This window comes from Homo sapiens, chromosome 14 (genome assembly GCF_000001405.40).
Source record: "Homo sapiens chromosome 14, GRCh38.p14 Primary Assembly".
Classification (NCBI taxonomy): domain Eukaryota; kingdom Metazoa; phylum Chordata; class Mammalia; order Primates; family Hominidae; genus Homo; species Homo sapiens.
Window position 1 is genome coordinate 80,386,606 of NC_000014.9, and position 26,957 is coordinate 80,413,562.

The 26,957-nt window shown below is 37.9% G+C and overlaps 1 long non-coding RNA gene across 1 annotated transcript in view; it reads left to right on the plus strand.

Annotated features, from left to right (window-relative positions):
• DIO2-AS1 (DIO2 antisense RNA 1) overlaps positions 1-26,957 on the plus strand; it is a 244,049-nt gene that overhangs the window by 175,187 nt on the left and 41,905 nt on the right. The window contains exons 6-8 of the long non-coding RNA NR_038355.1: positions 7,378-7,581; positions 10,425-10,574; positions 16,515-16,676. This is a non-coding gene — a long non-coding RNA (DIO2 antisense RNA 1). The remainder of the gene's footprint in view (positions 1-7,377; positions 7,582-10,424; positions 10,575-16,514; positions 16,677-26,957) is intronic.

Sequence of the window (26,957 nt, forward strand, 5' to 3'; positions counted from 1 at the left end):
GATTTCTCCCTTACAGCCTACAAAAGGAACGAGCCCTGCTGACACCTTAATCTTGCACTTCCAGCTTCCAGGACTGTGAGACAATAAATTCATGTTGTTTAAGCCACCCAGTCTGTGGTACTTTGTTATGGGAACCCTGGAAAACAAATACAGACCATATTTCCAAAGTTTTGAGAGACTTAACATAAAGCTCTAGTTATCTGTATATTCCAGGAACACATTATTAGAATAGAAGAAGGTTTGTATAATTCATAATAGTGAATATTTCTCCTTACTGGGTGACACATTGTTTATCTATACCCAACAAATACCATCAATCAAATCTCTCAAAATAAACTAAAAAAAAAAAAAACTCATTGATAAAATCCTGGGTTTTTCTGCACAATTATTTCCAAAGCAATGTATCATTTCCAAAGTTTAGTTAGGACCAGCTCAGGACTTCCATGAGTCAACTGATATACCTGAGAAGCATATTCCTTCCTTCCCCCAGCAAGTGTTACTGTGAATACACAGACAGGCACCAGGGATCCAATAGTGGGCAAAGCAGGTAGCCATTGTCACAATGGCTTATGTTTACCAAGGAAGACAGAAATTGATCAAACAATCACTCACATACATAGAACTATTAACTGTGACAAGTGCAATGAAGAAGTAGCATCATACTCTGCAGGCAGTTACTTCCCCTTGGAACTGTGGGCAGGCACAGCTGGGCTTACTCTGTATTCTACATGTAAAGTTGCAGTACTGTGAGTTTTCTCCCATCAAAAGAAAACACTGAATATTATATTCAGGCACCAAACTATCTGTCAAAAATAATCATATGAATAAAACATGGGCCCATAAAGAAGGAGCTGAAAGGGGTAAAGAAGAGAAGCAGAAAGGCAAGTGGGACATGAAGACAGTTAAAGAAATAGGAAACTCAGGAGAAGACGCTGACATCAGGTTTCTGCACTCAGGATTCAAGAACAAGGGAGTGAGGACATGTTCTGTGGGCATGGCAGTGGTGAAGGGCACGTGGTCAGGCATGAGACTTTGTGCAGTTAAAAGGCTCTTGCCCAAAATAAAAGCCTACCTTTGTTTGCAGCTCTGTCCTTTTAAACTGGAACATCACTGTTCAGCATGCTCTTTGCTCTATGCAATTGCAAGCACTTTAGCCTGCTGCCAAATGACGTAGCTGGTCACCAGAGAAGCTGCCGAATGCCGCTGAGCAGGGGGAAGAAAATCCATGGAATTAGTCCTGAACGTTGCAAAAGAAGCTGCACCTCTCAGCTACTGTGTTAAGTCATATTATAATTGTCTCTCGGATCACATGTGAGCTTTTTCCACAGGTGGGATAGAGCCAGGCTTCCCGGTGCCAGCATGGCCCCCCAGGCCTCTACAAACTGGTCTGCAGCTGCTGTGTCACTTGCCCTTGGCAGAATTTAACAAGATAAACTGCTTCCTTGGCATTTAGTTTTACACTTAGCATGGGTTATATTTATACTTTTTGCCTATTGGTGATGACCAACTTGGATGACCCACTTTGAGGTCACCCAAACAACCTAGGCATAACTGATTCAAAAATATCTTTAAAACAATAAATACATCACTGTATGAAAACATGAACACTTCTATTTTCTGAAACAACTATTTAGAGAACACCTTTACTGATAGCTAGAGGCTATGTGGATGAGAAAATTATACCAGTGGGGTGGAGAGCTCCATCATGAAACAAAAATAAGCTTGCATCACAAAACAGAATTCTATGGCCCTTGATTCAGCCGTGTCTGCTTGAGTTTGCATGATTCAAAATGTAGATGTGGTAGTTAATGTCAAACCATCCTTAGGTAACTAGATGTATCCCTACAATGCCCAGGTGAATAACCTGAGATGAAAGCTAGATATTTTTAATGCTTTTATGTTAAATGGAAGGCTGAAGCATGTTTAGCACATTTAGCATCATGTGTAAAAGTGAGGAGAAGGAATATGATCTGAACAGAAACAAATTATCTGTGAATAAAAGAAAAGTGGAATGTCCTGGGTGTGGAGGTTGGCGGCTGGTTCTCAGAGTCTGGGCCTGGGACCAGCAGCATCAGCCATACCTGGGAACTATTTAGAAAAACAAATTCTCAGGTCTCACACCAGACTTACTGAACGAGAAACTCTCTTGAGGGAGCTCAACAACCCATAGTTTAACAAGCTTTCTAGCGATTCTGATGCACACTCATGTTTGAAAGCATCTGAATTAGGACACGAAGACCCAAGTACAAGCGACAGAAAAGCAAGACAGAGCACACCGTCTTCCCCTAAGCAGGATTACGAGGGCAGAACTTCAATGTCTCTAAGGAAAGAAACCCTAATCCTGGAGTCTATAAATTATTAGAGTCTAACAATCTAAACAATTCTGATAAAGAGATGAAAAGTCATTAAAGTAAACTTAAATTGTTTTTCAACTGAATGGGTGACAGACATGATCCCTGTCCTTGTGACATTTGCAGAATTGCTACAAGTTCACTGTAAACAGTGTTTTCATCCCCAAATTCTTAAGTGACTGAAATCAGCCTTAAGCCCAGGCAGCTGAAGTTTTTGTGGTCTGGCAAGTATTTGGTATGACTCTCTTCACCTGAATCTGAGCATTTTCCCTCTGAATCATTCACTGAGTGAGAAGAATTCGAAAAGGAGTTAATAAAATACATTCTTTGTGGTTGGAAATTATAATATCTTCTGATCATAGACTGGCTAAGTCAGTACAAGCAAATGAGATGCAGATAAGAAACATACAACACTTCTACATTGTGTTGTCTAATTATTGTACATATCTAGAGAAATTTCTAGCAGAGGTCACTGGTCAAAGGGCATGTTGAAGACATTAAAAATTCAAGAAGGGAAAAATGTACTATAATAAAATAAGCTTGAGTATAGAGTGAATGTGGTTTGTCCAACCTAAAGCTAAGTGCCAGAGAGATTTCTTCATCCTCCTTACCACCCCAAATATTACAAGCAACTCTGAGATATTAACAAGAAAGAGTTTTATGTGACTGGAAGTTTCCTTTTGCTTTTAAACTCTTTCATTTAGCGTAGATTAAAATGGCACTGTGTGCTTATAAAAGTGACATCTATTTGCTAGTTCAGTTCCCCCAGGCTAGGAAAGTAAATGGATGTTCTGGCAAAAAGTCGTAACTAACCCTCAAAGTTGGTATACCAGCCATGCTTGAGAAACACTTTATTTAGTCAGTGTTTCCTATTATGGAAGATGGTACAAGATTACATTTTGAAAAGACTGGGAATATTCTAATAAAATTTCTTTTTTTGATATGCCTAACTGGTTTTTAAATATTGTTGTGAACCTCATATCTCTCCTACAAATAGACATTTCTAAAGATGCTTCAAAAAAGACAAACAAGGCCAGGCATGGTGGCTCACGCCTGTAATCCCAGCACTTTGGGAGGCCAAGGTGGGCAGATAACGAGGTCAGGAGATCGAGACCATCCTGGCTAACACAGTGAAACCCCATCTCCACTAAAAATACAAAAAATTAGCCAGGTGTGGTGGTGGGCACCTGTAGTCCCAGCTACTCAGGAGGCTGAGGCAGGAGAACGGCTTGAACCCGGGAGGCAGAGCTTGCAGTGAGCCGAGATCGCACCACTGCACTCCAGCCCGGGCGACAGAGTGAGACTCTGTCAAAAAAAAAAAAAAAAAAAAAAAAAAAAAAAGACAACCAAAGATGTTAGCTTCAGAGCCATCATACCAATTTAGTTCCAGCATATAGAAGTTATTTCACTGAAAAACTAACATTTGCTCAGCCAGGCCCAAGAATCTATGAGTCCATATTCAATTTTCTCTGTACATTCTCCTTCCTTCCTTCGTTTCTTCCTTCCCTCTTTCCTTCCTTCTTACCATCCTTCCAAGGATGGCAGCCTATGCTCATATATCTGCCAAAATTTTTGAGGGCACTGAAAAGAAATATACAAAATTAACAATCTAATATTTTCAACCTGCAGCTATAATCAAAACACAGATAATGCTTTAGATGAGCCTAAATTTTGTAACTTTCCCTACCATCTTATACTCACCACCAAGAATAGACAAAATTGTTTATCACTTGTTTTAAGATAATGCAATTTTACTCTGGGGTGCCATGTCATTTCTACAGATCATCAACCAAAGTTCTAGTGTAGTTCACTCCCCAGTGCTCTTCAAAGCTATATAATATGGTATGGAAACTAGTTCAGACCTTGCTAGCCTCATAACTGCTACTGAAGAGAAGATCTCTAAGAAGCATCAGCCCAGAGGGCTGCTCAAAGGAATTCAAGAATGTGGCTGAAGCTAAATTTCCTTGGGGACTTAAAAAGTTGCTGTTATTTGAGCTGGCACATAGCCAGCTTTGTTGTGCTCTGCAGCAAGTAGCTTTGCATAGGGTTAAGAAAGTCAAATTCCTCAAACAGAGGAGGACCCAGGTACCCAGTGAGTCAAGACTATGTCACACACAAACACAGACATATACAGTCTGGAAACCCTGCATTCCTGTAGCACAGTATGTCTCCACCTCAAAAGCATGGTGCTCTTTTGTTTTGTTCTCTTTCTTTCCTTTTCAGCTAAATGGGTTTTGACAGTGATGAGAGCCATGTGGGTGGTTGTCCTTCAGGTTTTGTCAATTGTATAAAACTGACTTGCCATCGTTCACCTTCTTCTAAATTTGCACTTTTCACTATAGGCATGATGTATGTCAAACCTCATTACAATGAAAACCTTTGAAAGATAGACATTTTCATACCTCTTAACTATGATTATGAGTTTTTTTTTATTTAGGCAATACACAATACAATAGGTTTTCCTTTTAACAAAAGTGTCTGGACAATCCTTGGGAGTTAATCTGAAAGAAATTGGTAACTATAAGTAAGGACAAATAATTTTAGAAGAAACCAAGTCTTGTCATTGACATAGCACTTATTTTCTCAATATTATCCCAGAAGTTCTGCTTATCATTTACTGATTTACGTGGAGAAACAACATATGGGAATGTTTCCATGTGAACCTCAATTTGCTTTCTATACCATCTCCTGGTTCCATCTCTTATTTAAACAAGTTATTTTACTTGGATAAACTGCTTGTTATTCTTGTTTTGTTTTGTTTTTACATGAAACGGATAGATTGTCTCTTAATTTCTTTGTCTAATGGGACCCAAATTAATAACACATTCTTCTGAACTTGAAGATATCTATAGCGTCAAGAGCATGAGACCAAATTGGCCAACTGACTCCCTCGTGTAAAATGAGGCAGTTGGCCTTTCTGTTCACTATACCCTAAAATCTCTGATCCCCTAAAATTGCTGATACTCCTCTAAGAGGATCAAATATTCACATTTTCCAATATATTTCATGAGTTTTTTCTATAAGGTCCAAACTATTCCATTTAATTCTGTTTAAACCAATTGATTTGTTGACTTAGTTAACAAATACATATTGAGCATTTGTATGTTCCAGGCATTTTGCTAGATGCTGCCCTTAAGAAGTTCATAGTCTATAATTTTACATATTTTATATCTGATACATATTTATGTTTTTAAAAGCTCCATATACTCTCATGTAGCAATTTCTCCATTTTGTTTATGTGTGTTAGTGTAGACATGCCCAACTAGGTCTAACACCCTTGAAACTACAGATATCTTCAAGTTCAAAAGAAAGTTTTATCAATTTTAGACCTATTAGACAAAGAGATTAAGAGACTGTTTCATATAAAAACAAATAAATCAATAATAAAAAATAATTTATCCAAGCACATTAAGGGAATACTATAGCTATTTTTATCACATTTTTCAGGTAAGGTAGAAATCAGTAATTTAAGTGCCTGATTGTGAGTGAAGATGGGTGGAATGAAATCCAAATGAGATTGGAGAAACATATTTTCCTGCAAATTCTTTCTCACTAATTCTTAACCGTATTTGCCTGGAAGTGCTATGTCACAAATCTTTAACCATTACCAATCATTACTTAAATTTGTACAGAAATCTAGTATAAAGTTAGATCAATCAGGCAAATAAATTCAGATTTCATTTCTGATTATATTTTTATCAAATTCGAATAGGCTTCAAACTCCATTAGCTAGATTTACAATTTCTAATCCAATTCCTGTAAGACCCTATAAAATGACCTATGAGTTACCGGTATTTCTAAGTATGCTAGAATATTATATTATCATTGCTTTCTATCCTGTATCTTAGAAAACACAAAGCTATTCATAGGCATAGACATTTTAACTACATCAGATTTAAGAAACACTAGACACATCACCATGCCTCTGAATATCTCCCCAACTGACAGAAAATCATCTTCTGAATTTCTCTATTAAAGATGCCTTTCTTGGGGCTCAGATGCACAGTCATCAAGAATGGCCTGATTACAATAACGATAGCTATTCATTCAGTGTCTAGGCTGTTATAGATATTGTGATTTCCCTGTATGTATCTAAAACATCCTTATAAAGTATTATCTCATTTTCTTCTAAGATAAAGGAAGTGAAATGAGGGTGGTCACCTAGATGGGATGCAGTGGAGCCAGCATTTAAACCCTATGCTCTTTCACTATGACATCTTGGGTCACTCTATTCAGCCATCATCAGCTTTCAGTAGTCCATTGTAGAATATTTTACTAGATTATTCTTCAAGATGTTTGAAAATAATGCCAGAAATATTTTTAATAGTAGAAAAAAAAACCCAAGTGATGCATCTGGGAAATGGGGCATTTCTCAAGGTGATAATAACTGAGCTTGGTTCTCTAAATAAAGTTATTAGCTAGAAAAAGACACACAACACAAGACTACAAGATTTGGAGAAAACAAATACAATAATAATAGCTAGCATTCACTGAAAACTTACCATGTGCATCCACTGTCCTAAATGCTACCCATATCTTAACTCATTTAAGCCTTTAAGATCAGAGAAATATACCAAATTTGGAGAAATCTCAGGGAAACAAGTAGACAAGAAAATAAGAACATTCCAAGCAAACTCTTCCTACTTCAGGGACACTCCTTTGCCTAGACAGATACCTTGAAAAGTGACCCTGTAACTATCTGGACACATCACACTCTTCTAACCAAGAACCTACAACCTTAAATAAAGTATATTACCTATATAAGAAGCAGAGACAAATCCAGGTTTGCTGGGCTTAACAGTTATGCAATTTGGGAGTCCCCTCACTAAGAAAAAGAGTACAAAATTGTGGATGCAAAAGTGCTTGTGAAAATCACTGTGTTCATAACTGATTGCTAGTATTTTATGTTTTTTTAATTTTACAAGAACATATGATCACATCAATGCACCTCAAGAGCTCTTGTTGAGACTTGGAAGGGGCCCGAGCAAGTGAGGAGTCTAAAGCTTGAGTTTCATTTACTTCACAGTATATCTGCTTCTGACAACAAGCAAGACTGAAGTTAATCCATTTAGCATGATGATGAAAATGAAGTCATCAATGAAGTTGCAAGCTTAGGATATCCTTCACATTAACCACCAGTAGCCCAACTATTTAACTAAAGGAACTTTGTAATATCTGGACTCAGAAACTGAGATAAATGCCATAACCAATCATCCAACCGGAGACTGAGGTACATGTAATCAGGTTCAAAAGTGACTCTAAAGGTACTTGCCTGGCAGCATGACAAAGTGGCATATTATTACACTCCTTAAACACTTTGTGAGAAGCAGCAATCACGTCTCCCTCCTAAATGTATCCAAACACATCAGAGCATTAGACAAACAACTCTAGACATTTACCACATTTCCATTCTTGTATATTGACCCAAGGGATAGGGAGGGACAAGGCTTGGTGAGGCAGAGAGCATCCTGTTACACATAACCCACCCAAAAGTACAGAATTCATTTCTTGAATTGCTATGACACCCTGGGCCCCTTTGTTTCTCAATAATAGATGGACTCATGTTTCCTTCCACCTTATAAAAATTCCCTTAGAAGGAATTTAAATGCAGTCTGTGAGCATTAAAACATTCTTTACTGGGACCACCCATTCATAATGCTACCCTAGAAAAGATAAAGAAAAATGAAATCTAGATATAAGAACCAAAGGGATCAGGTGAACAGGATCTTAATCACTTCCACAGAGAATAAGCTAGTGAAATGAACTAGCATGGTTTTCCCTTCAAAAGCAATCCTGAAATGAAAGAAAAATGTCTTATGTTGGGTGAAACATACATTTTTAGATGGTAGACACAAACTGAATTATTTGCACCCTTAGATTTTTTGAAGGCCAGAGAGATCAAACATTTCCCTGCTGTTTGTTTGATTTGGTCTGAGGTGAAGCCAAGAGATGTGGTGATGGAAGCTTGGAAAAACAATTAAAAAGAAATGTATGCAGTGGTTTTTCTGGGATCCTAATTAACTGGCCCATTTCTAGGTAACATTAGGGAAGTTGTGGGCTGTGATTATTATCTCTTTAAAGTCCTAATTAAAATGTCAAACTGTAAGGTAGAAAGTCTTCAAAGCTGCATGTAATTTGATTGTGTTGGCTTATTGGAAAAATGGCCTTGGAAATACAAATAAACCAGCCACTAAAAAGATCCCAGAAGTCCAGGCTTTTTTCCAGAAGTATAATCTGTTGAACCAATAGCATTTTATAACTAACCACTCACCAAGTGGTAGACATCCAAATGTCAAAGCCTGTTTCATAACATGGTAACACATAACATGCTGCAGAAGAATGCCTCTCCATTGCATATTTCGGTTTGAAAAGGGTGTTTGGGGTTAGTTCACCTACAAATGCTTATGTGCTTATCACCCAGACTTAAATGTTCTTACTTGGTGAGCTTCAGAAGTTGCCGGCACCCTACCCACTTTCCAAATTAGTCTGCTAGAGTTTTGTAGCTCTAAAAGAATCCCTGCATACTGTGGCAGACTTCTGTTATTCTGAAGTATCAAAATCTCAGCAGAATGAATTCCCTATCACATCTGTGCATGGGTATTAGAGAAGCTGCCCCTCACTTATAAAACTCAGGCAGATATGACACGTTGAGATGTTAGTAAGAAAAAAAAGCCAATCAAAAACTGGCTTAAACAACAAAGACACTGGTTGTCACATAGCAAGTACAGCAGTGAATACAATATCTCAACGACATCAAATGACCTACTTTCTTTCGATTTTTCCACATTGCCATTCTCAGACAGTCAGCTGCTCCTCTCATCATCACACTGTGGTTACATCAGTTCTACGCATCGTCTCCTTATAACCATTTTGAAAGGGAGGAAAACAGGAATGTTGCCTCCCATGCATGTCCTTTTATCCTTTCCTAGAAACCCTTCAGCACACTTGCCACCACACTTCATTCTCCATAGTTGTATCATATGCCCATGCCTAAACCAATCATGTTCTTTCAATGGCAATTACTGTGACTAGAGAGCTAATCAAGACTCATCTCCACTCCCACAGCTAAGGAGGGATTCAGTCTCCCCTGATGTACATGCATGTCATACTGATATTGAAAAACAAATTATAAGTGTATTTGCAAGAAAAAAATGGAAGAAACGCTGGGTAGGACACCAACATTGCCCACCCCAGTAAGTGGTACATCTACTGCATCACTGTCAGTAGGTTCCAGGCGTGGGCAGATTTGTATTGACATGTTGATCACAGTCTCTCTTCTATCTCCACTCATGGCAACATGTTTATAAAATACCTAGTCAAGGCCTTTGGCCATGAATAAAAGAAAAAATTATTTCCACCTTGAAATTCCTCTATTCATTCACTTGTTTATTCACAAATATAGATTGAGCAGGCCCTGTACTCGACATAACAAGAACAAGCAAGACATGATCCGTAATAGGAGTCAGCTTATAGTCCAGTGGAGAGAATACATAAAGGCAAATGAGCAGTGTCATATCCCCTTTGATGGGGAATGTACAGTACTCTAAAGTACTTTAATAGTAAAGTATCATAAATGCTTTGATAGCAAAAGTCCTGGGGAATATAGATGCACATAGATGTACTTTATCCAGTTTCCTAGATGAAGAGATCACTGAGGTAAGAAACGAAGATACAAAGGTGAGTTGTAAGTAGAAAGACTTAAAAGGAGACTAAAGGAACCCTCCAACCTTGGTGCTTCTCTAATTAACTTCGACTAATTTAGCTAACTTCTCAAGAATACCTATACTGCTAAAACAGCGATTCTTAAATTGGAGTACATGAATGTAATTCAGAAGATGAGTAAACTTAAAGAATAAAAAAAATACATCCTTGTTTTATTAACGCAACTGAAATTTAAGATTTTTTTTTCAATAATAAAAATATTGGCAAATAATCAATCTGTACTACAGGGTCCCAGACTTAGGATTTTACTTATACCGGACTTGTGATTTTTCAACTTTACAATGGTGCAAAAGCAATTTGCATTCAGTAGAAACTATACTTCAGATTTTGAATTTTGGTTTTTTCCCCCAGGCTAGCAATACATAGTATGATACTCTGTCACGATTTTGAGCAGCGGTAGCGAGCCTCAGATTCCAGTTGGCCACATGACCATAAGGGTAACCAACTGATACTCTACCATGTACTATGTTCCCAGATGATTTTGCCCAACTGTAGGCTAAGGTAAATATTCACAGCATGTTTAAGGTAGGCTACACTAAGCTATGATGTTCTGTAGTCTGTCGCATTAAATGCATCTTAAACTTAAGATATTCAAATTATTATGGGTTTATTGGGATATAACTCCATCGTAAGTCAAGGAGCATTTGTATTATCATTACCCATGACTTTATCAACAATAGAAATCATAGATATTTCATATTAAATTATAGTTGGTGCAGACATGTCAAAAAATATTCAAATGTATTTCCCTTATAAGACTTACCACTAGATATTGTTCTTTAAACCATTAATGTAAATAACATGCTTTTTAAAACATTTGGTTACTGTATTCCAATATAATTGGTTTCATATTTTATTTTCTATTTCTATATATTTTATTTAATTTTATTTTATGCATCTAAAGCAATAGTCAGAGAAGGGGTTGATAGATCTCAGCAGACTGATAGGGATGCATTTTTCCCTCAGATCAGACATGAGGGATTTGGAAAAGGTATAAATTTACTTTTGTTATAATTAACCTGCCCAATTAAATTTTGTGTTTGATTTTTAGCACTGTTAGCTGACGTGGTTTGGCAGTGTCCCCACCCAAATCTCATCTTGAATTGTAGCTCCCATAATTCCCATATGTTGTGTGAGGGGCCTGGTGGGAGGTAATTGAATCCTGGGAGCAGGTCTTCCCCATGGTGTTCTCTTGATAGTGAATAAGTCTCATGAGTTCTGATGGTTTTTTAAAGGGGAGTTCCCCCACATAAGCTCTCTTGCCTGCCACCATGTAAGATGTGCCTTTGCTTCTCCTTTGCCTTCTGCCATGATTGTGAGGCCTCCTCATCCATGTGGAACTGTGAGTTCATTAAACCTCTTCCTTTTATAAATTATTCAGTCTTGGGTCTGTCTTTATTAGCAGCATGAAAATGAACTAATACCTTATCCCTGTGGAAATAAAATATTCTTTTAGGGAAGCAGTAGAAGCTCTCTGAGTCTATGAGTTTGTCATTTTCTTTTTATAAGAGATTCAGTGCTATCAGAAAACCCATTCCACACCAAAGTTCTTATAATCATTGTTACTGCCATAATGGTCAAGTTCAGCAGCTTCTTAGGCAGTTGTCTCAGCAGGCACTTCATCACAATCACTAATAGTGGTAATTTGATTGAATGAATTGCTACTACATGCCATAGATTACTAGTATATAATTTCAGCATTGTGTTCAAACCCAAGAACATGAAGAAACCAATTTTGAAATCCCATTTTGGAGTGTCTGTTACCTGAGATCACTTGTGGAATCAATTTCTGTATCAGTCAGGGTCCAAGCAGGAGACAGAAACTATATCAGTTATTTGAACTGAAGGAATTTAATATTTAACAAATTAGTTCAGTATAAACTTGTTAACTAACACGGCAAGAATAGAACACTGAGTTATTGTTCAGTAAACTTTGAAACAAAGTACTGTTAGCAAATATTTTACTATATTATTGATAGTAAATATTTTCAGCTTTGCAGTCATGTGATGTCAAGTACTGAAAAAGGTCTGCAAAAATATCTCAAGCACTGATCTTAAGTTTTACAACAGTGATGTTATCCCTAGAAGCAATCTGGGGAGGTTCAGAATCTTGCAGCCTCTGGCTACATGACTCCTAAACTGTAATAATCTTGTGGCAAATTTGTTAGTCCTATAAAGACAATATAGTCCCCAGGCAGGAAATGGGTTTGTTTTGGGAAAGGGCTATTATCTTTACTTCAAAGGTAAACTATAAACGAAGTTCCTCCCAAAATAAGTTTGGTCCACCATCAATGAACAAGGACAGCATGGAAGTTAGAAGCAAGACGGAGTCAGTTAGGTCAGGTATCTTTCACTGTAATACTTGACTCAGTTATAATTTTTGCAAAGGCAGTTTCAGGATAACCCAACTCTGCAAGGGTTGAAAAAACGAAAACAACAAATGACTTCAGCTGTTGTTATGGGAAGGTATTGCTGCTGCAAATGTGAAGTATTGCACAGTGGGAAGACCATGAAAAACAAACAGGAAGAAGAAAATTCCTTCTCCCTTTTCCAGCCTTGCCATCTTCCTGTAGTGTCCCCTTTTGGTAGAACCTAGCAGGGGCTAGCTGGCCATGCTGAAATGTAGTTTACAAAGTCCTAGCCCCAGCATCACAACATGGAGTTTAGAGAGGTTGGCTTGGAGCTGAGAAACAACAGCTTTATAGCTGGCAAACAAGTGGTTCAGGCACTTCACTAAGCTACCAAAGGATACTTAGTGAATAAAAACAAGTCAAGAATGAACTTGCTCAACTTTTTCATGAACTCTGATTACTGAATAACCCCATTAAATAGTCTTCATGAACTGTTCACTTCAGTATAGTTCATTTTTGACAGACCTATGTCCTAAAAGAGAATTGCAAGTATAGTCTCCTTTCTTACCAGTTTAAAAGAAAGTAACTATAACTACTCAGTAAAAGCAATGGTCCCGTTTGGGCCACTTTTGAAAGAGAAAAGGCCAGCAAGTCTGAGGCAGGTTCTCCTAGTATTATTATTATCACTTCTGGGCATACACAGATGGTTCCATAATCTCTTCAAAGTCTCCCGGGAAATTAAAAGGAATACTAAATTAATTTAGCATTTTAAATAAAATAGTAATGTTTTTTAATGAAGTGCTTCATTGCTTTGGGTGGCAGAAATGGACTTGAGATGGAAGAGATGATAATTAGTAAGCTCTTTTATTTATGGAACCTGGCCCCTCGTCAGAAGGACCACACATTCTTTGCCCTTGGATGATCTCCACTATTAATAATTACAGGGATTCTGAGAAATAAAAGAAAATACAGCACACTCCAGGTTAACATGCCATAGTTGGAGGGCTCATCAAATATTCCAAGTTCCAGTTTCCCTAGGATGTTTGCACCAAACAACACAGTGGGCCACATAATATCCGGAATTTTTCTTTCCTGTTCCTGGCATTCTTAGCCTTTGAAAAGCAAAGACACAAAAACCTTTGTGAAACTATATTACCTTGTTTAGAAACTGTCTGACTAGTGCCATTCAATTCCTGATCATTTCCCTATACATTGCATGGTTGTGACATTTTATCTTATTCAATATGGCTTCCTCTGTCAACAAGCATGTACTATGGGTTACTGCTTGGTGCCCAGTGGCTACCATTGTCAAAATGATTACAATATGGTTAGGAAAGCAGAATGGAAATATATGAAATACTGGATTTAACAGAATGTTATATGAGATCAATTCTTTCTCAGAATCCTACTTAATAGACTTATTCCTGGAATGAGAGACTAGACTATATCACTCCAAAAGCTGACTATGGGTGACCTAAATATGCTATTCCAAAACAGGGCTCTCAAAATATTTTGTGCTAATTATTTTGAGAAACTTATTTTGAGAAGCTCTGAAAACAGAGTAGAAGTTTCCCTTTTGAAAAGAAATGTATATCTATAAAGGAAATCTCCATGTGTAAGGGTGTCTCTCTCGCTGTACCAAGAAGAGAAGGATGACTTTAAATTATGAGAAACTAATGTCAACAGAGAAGGCACCAACAAAAATCTGTGTAACAAACCTTACCCTTGTTCACCAAGCTTTTCCTGATCATCTCCTCATTACAGCGTCCCCCAATATCCTCCTTTGTTTCAGTTGAAGATGGTATTTCAGCCCGAACTCAAAGCCACCTCTTTAAGATTGACTTATTTTCCCTGAGTATCACCCATGTATAAATGAGGTATACACTCTAACAACCTTCTATAGGCTTTTTCCTTGTTAATCTATCTTTTGTTACAGGATCTCATTCCAACTAAGAACTCAGAAGGGTAGAGAGAAAATTATATTTGTCTTCCCCACACTAACAAACAGAAAAAGAAAAATAAGCAGTCACAAGCTGAAGTATGTAGCCCAAGGTTTCCAGTTAAAAATAGAATGTATAATCTGTCACCGGAATAATTTTTTAATATTTTTTAAAATTGACTTTTTAAAAATAGAATTTAGACTGGGCCTTGAAGAATAAGTAGAATCTAATTCAAGGGAAGTGGGGCTAAGAAAACAGCTGAGCAAAAGCACAGAAGCAAAACTAAAAATTCCGACCTAGGTGGGGCAAGGTCTAAAGATTTGATAAAAGAACTGTTAAACTGGTCACGGTGGCTCATGCCTGTAATCCCAGCACTTAGGGAGGCCGAGACAGGTGAATCACAAGGTCAGGAGATCGAGACCATTCTGGACAACATGGAGAAACCCTGTCTCTACTAAAAATACAAAAATTAGCTGGGCATGGTGCTGCATGCTTTTAATCCCAGATATTTGGGAGGCTGAGGCAGGAGAATCACTTGAACACGGGAGGCAGTGGTTGCAGTGCCACTGCACTCCAGCCTGGGTGACAGAATGAGACTCTGTCTCAAAAATAAAAATAAAAATAAAAATAAAATAAATAAATAATAAAAACAAAAAAATAAAAAAAACTGTTAGCGGCAGAATATACCTGAGACATGGCACTAAAGTATGTTACCAGCAACGAATCTGTGTGGGTCTGTGGCAACCTCAATTCTTGCCTCCTCAGAAGAAACAATTCAACTGAGGGGCATAAGACAGAAGGAGAGACTGAGGCAAGTTTTTACAGAAGGAGTGAAAGTTTATCAAAAAGCTTTCGAGCAGGAATGCAAGGAAGTGAAGTACACTTGGAAGAGGGCCAAGCAGGTGACTTGAGAGAGTCAAGGGCACTGTTTGACCTTTTAACTTGGGGTTTTATATGTTGGCATACTTTTGGGGTCTGGCATCCCTTCTCCCCTGATTCTTCCCCTGGGGTGGGCTGTCTGCATGTGCAGTGGCCTGCCAGCACTTGGGAGGTAAGCATGTGCAGTGTGTTTACTGTAGTTGTACACAGGCTCACTTGAGGTATTCTTCCCTTACCTGTCGAATGTCCCTCCAAGTTCATATACCAGTTAAACTCCACCATGTTTCCTCTTAATGTGCGTGCTTGGGCCCACTCACCCACCTCCTGAGATCTTATCAGGAAGCTACTGATCACCAGTTTCAGGTGTTTCTATTGGGAGATGGCCCTTCCCTGGCACCAGCTGTTACCAATTATTATTTTAGAGAGACACATGACAACTGCCTGACCATCACCTGATGGTTGCCTTACATCCCTGGTGGGGTGTGGGGAGCCCTCTTCTGCCCTGTTCATGCCTCATTAGCTACCCACTGTAACAGAACTGTATGAAATAATGTTCATAACAATTCATGAAAGAGTTTGAAGAATTATTTATGTAGGGGCAAAAGGAATTCTTCATCCCGCTCTGAAGGTTCCAGGCTGCTGAAATGAATCAACTGGCAGATTTACAGGAGAAAAGGCATACACATTTATTAATATGTGTAAGCACAGAAGCCACACAAAATGAGACTCAAAGAAGGGACAGATCGTTGAGTCTTAAAGACTCAAAGAAGGGACAGATCGTTGAGTCTTCATAGTGGAGAGGGAAATGGGGGATGTAGACAATTGTGAGGAGTATTTAATGATTTTCAGGGGAAATGAATGGGCTCCAAAAGAAGACAATAGTTTGTAAATGATTCCCTTAGGAACCTTAATGGAACCTACAAATTACAGAATGAGGAGGGACAGAACTGCATTGTTGTTGCAGGACAAAGGTTGTCCTACCATACCGATAAAGTCTCTTGGTTAATCTCTTAGAACTGCCTTCAGAAGAATAGATGAAAAGTCTGTCTGGGCATGGTGATGACTAGTTAATCTTTCCTGGATTTTTAATGAGATTCTTAAGGAGGGTATTTAAGACAATTGCATTTCTTTTGGATAAAATTTCCCCCATCAGATAAGGAAATTCCAGGGAGAGAGCCCCTCCCTGCATTAGGCAGGGAGAGGAACAAGAGGTTAGAAGTCCATGGTTCTGAGGCAGCTTCTAAGGTCTTTCAATTTCTTTTAATTCAAAGTGTTCTGCAGGCCAAAGCACCATACTTTTGGATATCATTTGCTGAATCCCAATGTTGGTAAAGCATGAACTTGAAGTGGAACTTCAAAGAGGCAGAGTCAGCCAAGCCGAAAGTGAGGTTTGCCAAGATTGATCATTGATGTGAAAAGATTAATCATAAGTGGTAAGAGGGCAGGCCCTGTAAGGGTTACCACATAGGGGTCTAGTGTAGTGGCCCAAGCATGGGTAGATAATAATCCTACTAGATTAGCAGCCACAGAAATAAAGAGGGAGACTTTGTGAATTGAACAATTGAGGGCACAATGGAAATGACACACCTGTAGTTGATTACTTTAATAACATGTTTCTCAGCATCCTGGATCCCCTTGAGAGACAGGACTAGCTGGATTTCCTAGGCTGACTAAGAATTCCTAAGCCTAGCTGGGGAAGGTGACTGCACCCACCTTTAAACACGGGGCTTGTAACTCAGCTCACACCTGACCAATCAGGTAGTAAAGAGAGCTCACTAAAATACCAATTAGGCCAAAAGCAGGAAGTAAAGAGTCAAACATCTATCACCTGAGAGCACAGAGGGAGGGACAATGATCAGGATATATAAACCCAGGCATTGGAGCCAGCAGTGGCAACCCCCTTTGAGTCCCCTTCCGTTGTATGGGAGCTCTGTTTTCACTCTATTAAATCTCGCAACTGCACGCTCTTCTGGTCCGTGTTTGTTCCGGCTCCAGCTGAGCTTTCGCTCGCCGTCCACCACTGCTGATCACTGCTGTCGCAGACCCTCCACTGACTTCCATCCCTCTGGATCCAGCAGGGTGTCCACTGTGCTTCTGATCCAGCGAGGCGCCCACTGCCGCTCCCAATTGGGCTAGAAGCTCGCTATTGTTTCTGCACGGCTAAGTGCCCGGGTTCTGTCCTAATCAAGCTGAACACTAGTCGCAGGGTTCCACGGTTCTCTTCCATGACCCACAGCTTCTAATAGAGCTATAACACTCACTGCATGGCCCACAGTTCCATTCCTTGGAATCTGTGAGGCCAAGAACCCCAGGTCAGAGGACAAAAGGCTTGCCACCATCTTGGGAGCTCCAAGAACAAAGACCCGCCAGTAATACCCTTCTAGTTCATCCAGCTTTGGCATGTCCCTTCCCAGCCTTATATGTGGATGGTGTCAGGATCCAAACAAAGATAGCACCATGCCCCTAGAAGAGGAGGATGAACTCTTTTGAGTGTTCCACTGATCCTGCTGATCCATAGGTTTTAGCATTTTTTTCATTATATTCCTATACTGTAAGAATTTTTAATTTTCTGTATATTATGATGTTTTGACATCTTAAAAAAATATATTGGGTGGAGAAGAGGCTGCTTTTTTTCTGGGCCAGCCAACTCAGGAATATAACAAAGGACCCAGCTGGGAGAGTGTCTTTGATATACAAACTAAGCAGTTCAGAGCCACATCTTCTCTATCTGGCCCATACCCTCTAGGAGACAACATTCCTCTGTCTTAATCATGCTAGAGCCAGGTGCTAGGTAACTAGGGACCCCTCCTGTGGTTTAGAGCTCACTGAAATTATTCAAAGGAGCCAATCCTAAACTGTTGGCTCTGCCCTGGCCCTCCCTTTCCCCTGGAAACCTAAGACTGTGGCCTAAGGACTCCCATTGCGCCTGTTTTCTGCCTCCTAACCACCCTGGTGTTTTTCCCACGTGGCTTTATGTGGCATATCATACTAATTGTCTCTAGGACCTGTGAGCATAATAAAAAATAATTCCCCCTGAGCTTGTCCTCTATCTCCCTGTGGCTGCGCCTAACTTACCATATCACAAAATAATACAAAACCATTCCCCCACCCAGTATATATACAGACCTAGCATCTCCTAAAATCTTCCTCTCTTTCTCCTGAACTGAGGAAATGAATATAACTCCTGCTTTATAATTTGATGGGGGAAAAGGGGGCATCTGAAATCATGTCTGCCCACTTCATGCTTTCGTCTCAAGCCCCCATCTCATTCAGAATCTTTGGCTCCTTGCACAACAGAACATATTCTTACTTTATCTGACTCCTCTAGTCCCTGTGCCTCTAGCTCCTCAAAAACATCTCCACAGATTGTATAGATATTCAATGTTTTGGATTTGTCTTGGTCTTAAGCAGTTTGGATATATAAGGCTGCATAATAGATATTTATACTATATCACTATAACCTTGTTTTATTATATTTTTATCTCACTACTTGAAATCTAAAATCTCCAAGGACAAGGACTCCAAGCACTGCATCCAACACAATATTACCATTTTGCATCTCAATAAAAATTAACAAATGAGCTAATCTTTTGCATGTTTATATTCCTTGCTAAGGAGCTGGAGATACACGTGTAGATGTCTTGATAAGAAACTCTGAAATCTCTGAACTTTAAAAGGCATGGACTTTGCTAACAGTTGAGTGAAATTTCATAAAAGAGGTTTTCTCGTTAACATATGCTATGAGATAAATTGTACATACACATAAAGTCCCTGGCTTTGAAATAGCACATCTAGAAACAGCGCTAACAGATCTCCTTGAAACACAACTTTGAAGTCAAACAGCGTCCAGTATGAGAAAGATTTCACTCTTTTTTTTAAACAAAATGTCATTTGTTCTTTAGCACAGTAATATCCGAATAGCAATGTATAAGATAGTAAACTCTCATAGGACAAACGCTCAGATTCTTCACATTTAATAGCCATTATCTTTTCCTGTTTGTTTAACCTGGCACAGATCTCCGTGAATTTTCTTTTGGGTCCTTTCATATTATTTCACATGTCTCCTCCCCTGTCATTCTTTAACTCATCTTGTTCCTGATGTCTGCTGCCTCTGCAAACTGCCTACTAAACATACCCAATTTCTCAATTTGTGTGTATTTAGCTGCAAAATTTTATTGTTACTACCTGTGATGATTGTTTAGACAAGCTGAAGATATTAACTCAGTCTGGCTATTAATGTAAAAGCAGCTAAAATTTGTACTAACTTTATTCACCAAACACCCATACTTCTCTGTCTCTAATAAAAAGAAGAAAAAGAAAGACTTGAAATACCTTTGATAATCAGACACTTATAGAAATAATAACTATAAAATAAAATTGGATAAAGTATATCAAAAATGTTTAATTTTATCAAAAGGTATATGTGTGCATGTGTCATTTTATATCACACAAACACAAAAAAAGAACAGTTGGAATATCTTAGATATAATGAGGGATGTTTAAGAATAAATAATTTGTTGACAAAAAAAAAAAAATTCCTGTCCTTTAAATATTTTCCCTAAGCACCTTCTGGTGAATGGCCCTGTGTAGGTCCTATGGAAGATACCCAAAAGCAAAATTCAGGTTCTACCCTAAAGAAGCTGACAATTCAGTTAGAGAAACAAAATAAGCAGAATAAAAATTAAATGAATATGAAAATCTATCACATGGTGCGTACCTTTTGACTCAGATATGCTACTTCTCAGATATGAACCTAAGTAAAAAGCTATGGATATAACTACATGGGATTATAGAATAATTTTTGGAATTACTAAACTTAGAAAAACAATGAAAGAATTAATTTTAAAGGGTGGTCACGTACAATAGACTGGCATGTGGCCATTAAAGTGATGTAGAAAATACTGTTTAATAGCATGGAGAAATGTTTGTGGTATAATGGGGGAAAATCAGGCTAAAAATTAGTAAGCTTGATATGATCCTTTTGGTGTCAAAAAATAGATACAAAAGGTCGCATATTAAACTCACAGCATCGCATTTAATAGTGAATATCAGAAACAAAACAGAGATGTCTGCTTTTGTCATTTCTATTCAACATTGTATTAGCAATTCTAGCCAGGGAAAATAGGCAACAAAATTAAATAAAAGGCATCCACATTGAAAAGGAAGGAGGAAAGCTATCTCTATTTTTAGATGACGTGATCTTGTATATAGAAAATCCTCTAGGAATCTACTAAAAACTATTAAAACTAGTCAATTAGTTCAGCAAGTTTCCAAGATACCACGAATATTATTTGTATTTCTATATAGTAGTAATGAATAAGTCAAAAATAAAACCAAGAAAATAATTTGACTTAAAATTGCATCAAAAAGAATAAAATACAAATAACCTTATCAAAGGAAGTGTAAAACTCATGTACTGAAAACCCCAAAACATTATTGAAACAAGTTAAAGGCATAACTCAATAGAAAAACATTTCATGTTCATGGCTCAGAACATTTAATAGTGTTACAATGGCAATAATCCCAAAATCGATCTACAGATTCAATGCAATTCCAATAAAAATACCAGCTGACTTCTTTGCAGAAATTGAAAGCTAATTCTAAAACACATATGGAAAGGCAAGGGTTGCAGAATAGTCAAAACTCTCAAACAAAATTGGAGGATTCACACTTCCCAATTTCAAAACTTACAAAGCTACGGTAATTAAGACAGTGTGTTACCAGCGTAGGTGGAATAGAATTTAAAATCCTGAAATAAGTCCTTATATTTATGGCCAATTGATTTTCCAAAAACATGCCAGGGGTTGGAATCCTCCCTCACACCATACACAAAAATTAATTAAAAATGGATCCAAGGAAGACTTAAATGTAAAAGCCTAAACGATAAAGCTCTTAGAGGAAATCATAGATGTAAATCTTCATGACCTTGGATTAGACAATAATTCCATAGATAGATATGATACCAAAAGCACAAGCAACAATAACAAAATAAATAAATTAGATATCTACTCTTTGATTTTTTGTTTGTTTGTTTTCTGTTGTTCTCTCTGTTTCATCTGCCTTATCTTCCTATATATTTTTTAACAGGTTTTAGAATTCCATTTTTTGGATTCAGTTGCGCTGAGTTGAAAGAATAGGGAAAAATACAGCTACTGCATCTTCCCAGAAGCAGAAGTTCTATATATAAGTTTTATTGGGACATCTTTAAAAAGTACCTGAGGTTTTAAAAAATTTTCTGAGGCTCTACTGTAAGCCAGAAATTCTTCCTCACCTTTGGCTGCTACTGCACATTTTTGTGCCTATTTTTGGGTAGAAGGTCTCTTCTCACTTAGAATTATCTGATAGGGGTCTTCATATTCCACCATGTGTCTTAGAGCTGTGGTTTTCTGCCACACCAGAAAAATGCTGTACTCCAATAGGTAATAGAAGCTGTTACCACAGTGATTCTCAAAGTGTGTGTGTGGGGTGGGGAGTAGAAAGTGTGTCTGCAGCACACACTGCAAATCGTGCTTTTTATTTTATTTTATTTTATTTTATTTTATTTTATTTTATGTTATTTTATTTTATTTTTTTGAGACAGCATCTTGCTGTTACCTAGGCTGGAGTACAGTGGCACAATTAAGGCTCACTGTAGCCTCGATCTCCTGGGCTCAAGCAATCCTCCCAGCTCAGCCTCTCCAGTAACTGGGACTACAGGTATAAACCACCATGCCCAGCTTATTTTTGTATTTTTTGCGGAGACTGGATTTTGCCATATTGCTCAGGATGGTCTTAAACTCCTGGACTCAAACAATCCACCTGCCTCAGCCTCCCAAAGTGCTGGGATTACAGGTGTGAGCCACTGCGCACACCCAATAGTGCTTTTTAAAATGAGCCTCTGTATAGTTGGACAAAGCCTTTTGTCTGATCATAATCGTGTCCTAGGATGTTGGCATAGCCCCTGATTAAGATACACTATAAGTTTTTGTCTTGTGGAAGAACCTGGTGGCCCATGTCTATTATCATGAAGTCATGCCCATCCACTTCCTTTGGCCATTGCCTTGAGTCGGGTTATATTGAAGAACCTAAAGCAAAAGTTTGAATTTGGTGTGGAGAGGAAGGAGGGCTGGTGATGGCTTCATGATGGGCAAGTTGAGTCTAGACTTGGTTCAAAGGCATCTAACCTTGGTTAAGATTCCCAGGCCCTGAGAGTTGCGTGGGAAAGTGCAACAGCACCTGTGGACTTTTAAGGATCATGGCCTTCTTAGCAGAAACCAGAATGAAGCCCACATCCCAGAAAAGCCTACTTTGCTAAAGATTCCTTGTATGACATTTGTAATAGGGAAGGAGTCCCAATAATAACTGAGAGGGAATTTGCCACCGTATCTGTGGTATTGGAACTTGGAATCAAATTTAATTTTATTTAATGAAAATAAAGCAAAATGTGTCATGCCCACTTAGCTTTGTAAAATACAATTGAAACCCCTTATAATAGTTTTAAAAACTTTGTTTAACCTAATTCTAGCAAGAGAACAGGAACTCTTGATTCCAGAACAATTATACTAATCCTTTCCCTTTTTTTGTTCTCATTTTTTCGTTTAATTCTAGATCACTATAGTCTTCCATGATAACGATATGCTTATCATTTTAAAAAAACATCTAGCATAAGTCAGCTTTTCTTACAGAGGTAGTATTACACACTGGAACTACATTTAGCCTGGGCCCCAGTGTTCAAAGAAAGTTTATCAAAAGAAACATGAAATTCAAGTGTGATGTTTCCTTCACCTTGCACTGGAATGTCATCGTGACTTTAAAGGTAAAACTTTCTCCTTTTATACACTCTATTCCTTCTGTGGTTTAGGAAATACAGACAGGGTGAATCTACCTTTATAGTTTCACAAAAACAGTGAACATTATTTGTTCTACCTAAGATTTCTGGCATACCATGTATTTTCCTAAGGCAGCATTTTCTATTGCTTTTTGCAGTGTCCTCCTGAGACCTCCTTCCTCCTTTTCCTCTTAAACTGCTTTTTAAGCTATTCTTTCTTGCATTTCCTCCAATTATTTTCTGTTTTTAATTTAGAAAACTGTTGGATGCCCAGTAGATACCATAGCTATAAATGTACTCTTGACTTTCAGATCTTTATCTCCAGGCTAAGTCTATCTCTTTAATGTCAAACCTGTATAACTTCTACTACATATGGGAATCTTCCCTAGGATGTATATGTCAGAATTTACTGAGTTCTAAAATGGTCATTTTCCAAGTGAGCCAGCAGCTTAAGCATCACCTGGGGATTTGTTAGAAATTCAAATTCTGGAGCCCCACCCCACACCTAGAGAGTCAGAAACTCTAGGGGTGGTGGCCATCAATCTGTCTATTAAGATCTCCAAGTGACTCTGAGGCACACTAAAGCTTGGGAGAAACTGTTCTAAAGCAATGGTTCTCAAAACTTTGCTGCACATGAGAATCACTTAGGGGGTGTGTACATCTGTGCATGTGTGTGTGTTATGAGTGAAATGTCGGTATCCCCCAAAATAAATATGTTGAAGCATTAATCCCCAATGCAATGGTATTTGGAGGTGGCCTCTGAAAGGTTATTAGGTTTAGATGAGGTCTCAAGGTTAGAGACCTCATAATGGGATTAGTGTCATCAGAAGAGAGAGACCAGAGCTCGCTCTCTCTCTCTCTCTCTCTCTCTCTCTCTCTCTCTCTCTCCCTCTCTGCTTGTCATATGAGGACACAGAAAGAAGGGAGCTGTCTACAAGCCAGGAAGGGGCCCCTCACCAGGAACTGAATCTTCTGGCACCTTGATCTTGGACTTCCCAGCCTCCAGAATTGTGAAAAATAATGTATGTTGTTTAAGCCACCTAGTGTATGGCATTTTGTTACAGCAGTCTGAGCAGACTAACACAGTGTGTGTGTACATATATACAGAGACACATACATTTATCTACATATAAATACATATATAGCAATCCTTGGTCTATCCTCAGAGATCCCGATTTAATTTCCACTGCACAAACACTGGCTTTTCTTGGTACTTGGAATGCTTGAGTCCACGTCTCAGAACTCCTAGGTTTTCTTATTGGAAAGAGCAGGTCTGTGTTCTGAAACTCACAGATTTTACTGTCCCCCAGAGCAGTATATTACTGTTCATCTCTGCCCCTTATCCTTCACTTTTTTATTTTGAAGGAAGGATGGCTGGAATAAAAAGAATATGGACTTTGAAACCAGACGCCCACATCCTGCTTATATCCCTTGCAAGCTGTACCACTTGCTGGCTTTGTGAGCTTGAACAAGTCACCCAGCCTTCCTTAGCCTCAGTGGCTCATCCAATAAAAGAAAAGAAAAAGACAAAAGAAGAGATAATATCTACACTCTGGATAAGACTAGAATTAATTTTAATTAAATTAGAATGAGATATAAAATCCTAGCATGGCACATATAGTTAAGCACATGCCAGTTATCTTTTAAAATAAATAGGCATTTCTCTTAAAGATTATATTGTAGACTTAAAGGTTTCCCCAAACTTTATAATAATAACAAAATAAAACAAGGTAGCTTTTGTCATTTCTGACGCGCATATTGAAGCAATAGAACACAGGACATTTTTTGTTTTAGAGAGTATACTCTTCTCGGTGACACAACGCACAGAATTATCTTCATATTCACTAACACATGATGTTAATCTTGACATCCCAATTACAAAACACCAAGTGAAACAAAACCTAAGGTGATATTTTTAATAAAGAGTTTTAATAAAGAGTCTGAGACATGTTTCAAAAACAAAGCAAAAAACCATGCTTTAAGATAGTCTTGCTCCCTTGGTGAATGGTCCCAAGAAATTATACCTTATGTTTATATTTCCCCTAAGCTAAGGACAATTTTGAGTCGTATTCACTTTCATTTTGCCTTCTCACTTTGCCTCCTCAGAAAGGGACCAGAGGCGTGAGGCTACACTTTTAGTAAAAGTATAAGTTACTCTCACTTTTATGAAAGGCAATTGAGCTTTCTTTTGTAAATTTTTAACAATCAGCTTCTTTGAAGTATAATTTACATACCATAAGATTCATACTATAAGATTCACCAGTTTTAAGTGAGCAATTTGATGAGTTTGGATAAATGTCCACAGTTGTATAAATACCATACAATCTGGCCAGGCATGGTGGCTCATGCCTATAATCCCAGCATTTTGGGAGGCTAAGGCAGAAGGAGCATTTGAGGCCAGGAGTTTGAGACCAGCCTGGACAACATAGATAGACCCCATCCTTATGAAAAATTGTAAAATTAGCTGGATGTAGTGGTGCATGCCTGTAGTCCCAGCTGCCTAGGAGGCTGAGGCAGGAGGATCACGGGATCCCAGAAGTTCAAGGTTACAGTGAGCTGTGATTGTGCCACTGTACTCTAGCCTAGGCAAGAGTAAGATCTTGTCTCAAAAAAAAAAAAAAATCACACAATCATGATACAGAATATTTCCACTACATAAAAAAGTTTTCTTTCTCCTTCCCAGTTAAACCTCTCCCCCAAACTCCAGACCTCAAAACCCTAGATCTGTTTTCTATCACTACATCGTTGCCTTTTCTAGAATTTCATATAAATAGAATCATACAGTCTTCTTTGTCTGGCTTTTACTAGCATAATGCTTTTGAGGACATTTGGTTTGTCTTCAGGTTTTGGCTATCAAGGGTGAAGTTTCTATGAATATTCCTGTACGATTTATTCTGTAGACATACGATTCTATTTATTTGGACATATAGGACTGGGATTGCTAGATCATATGGTGGGTACATGTTTAACTTTATAAGAAACTGCCAAACTGCTAGCCAAAATTGCTGTGCCATTTTGATTCTCACCAGGAATATATGAGAATTTCAGTTATTCCATATCCTCACCAACACTTGGTGTTATCAGTATCTTTTATTTGAGTCATTATACTGTACGTGTATAGTATCTAGTTGTGGTTTTATTTTACCTTTCTCTGATGACCAATAATTCATTCACAAGATATGATATCTCTCCCTTTACTTACATATTCTTTAATATTTTTCAGTTTAAAGCATATAAGACTGGTGTATTTTATAAATTCATCCCAAAGTATTTATTATTTTTATACTATTATAAATCATACTATTTGTATGTCTAAATTTCCAATTGCTTATTACTCATAGATTGAAATGTAATTTATTTTTGTGTATAGACCAGATATCTATCCTGCAACTTTGCTAAATTCATATTAGTCACTAATATTATCGGATTTTTCCTTAAGGTTTTCTACATAAACAACCATGTAATCTGAAAATAAAGGCAACTTTACTTCTTTCTTCTCACAGCCACACCTAAAACTCATGTGAACACTTACATAATAACTTCATTTAGCAACTTTTGAAGTTATATCACATTTTAGACAATGTTTTATCAGATTTTTTTCCCTCAAAAGGAACTAAATATACAATAGAAAGTGGTATTTTTGACATTATACACTCACAAATTTCTTTGACATGACAATTTCTAGTCAAGGAATGGAAATAAATTTATGTCCCTAATTTGTATGAACTCCAAATGTTTTGCTTGGATACATCCACATACATACAAATGTTTTGCTTTTGCATATGCACACAAATGAGAGGGATGGAAAGGGAACATCTTCTACTACTCTTGTCTATATATATTGGGCATGTGCTATTTTCACTTGTTTTTCAGTATTTAATCTTTATTTTGCCCTAACAATAGTTTT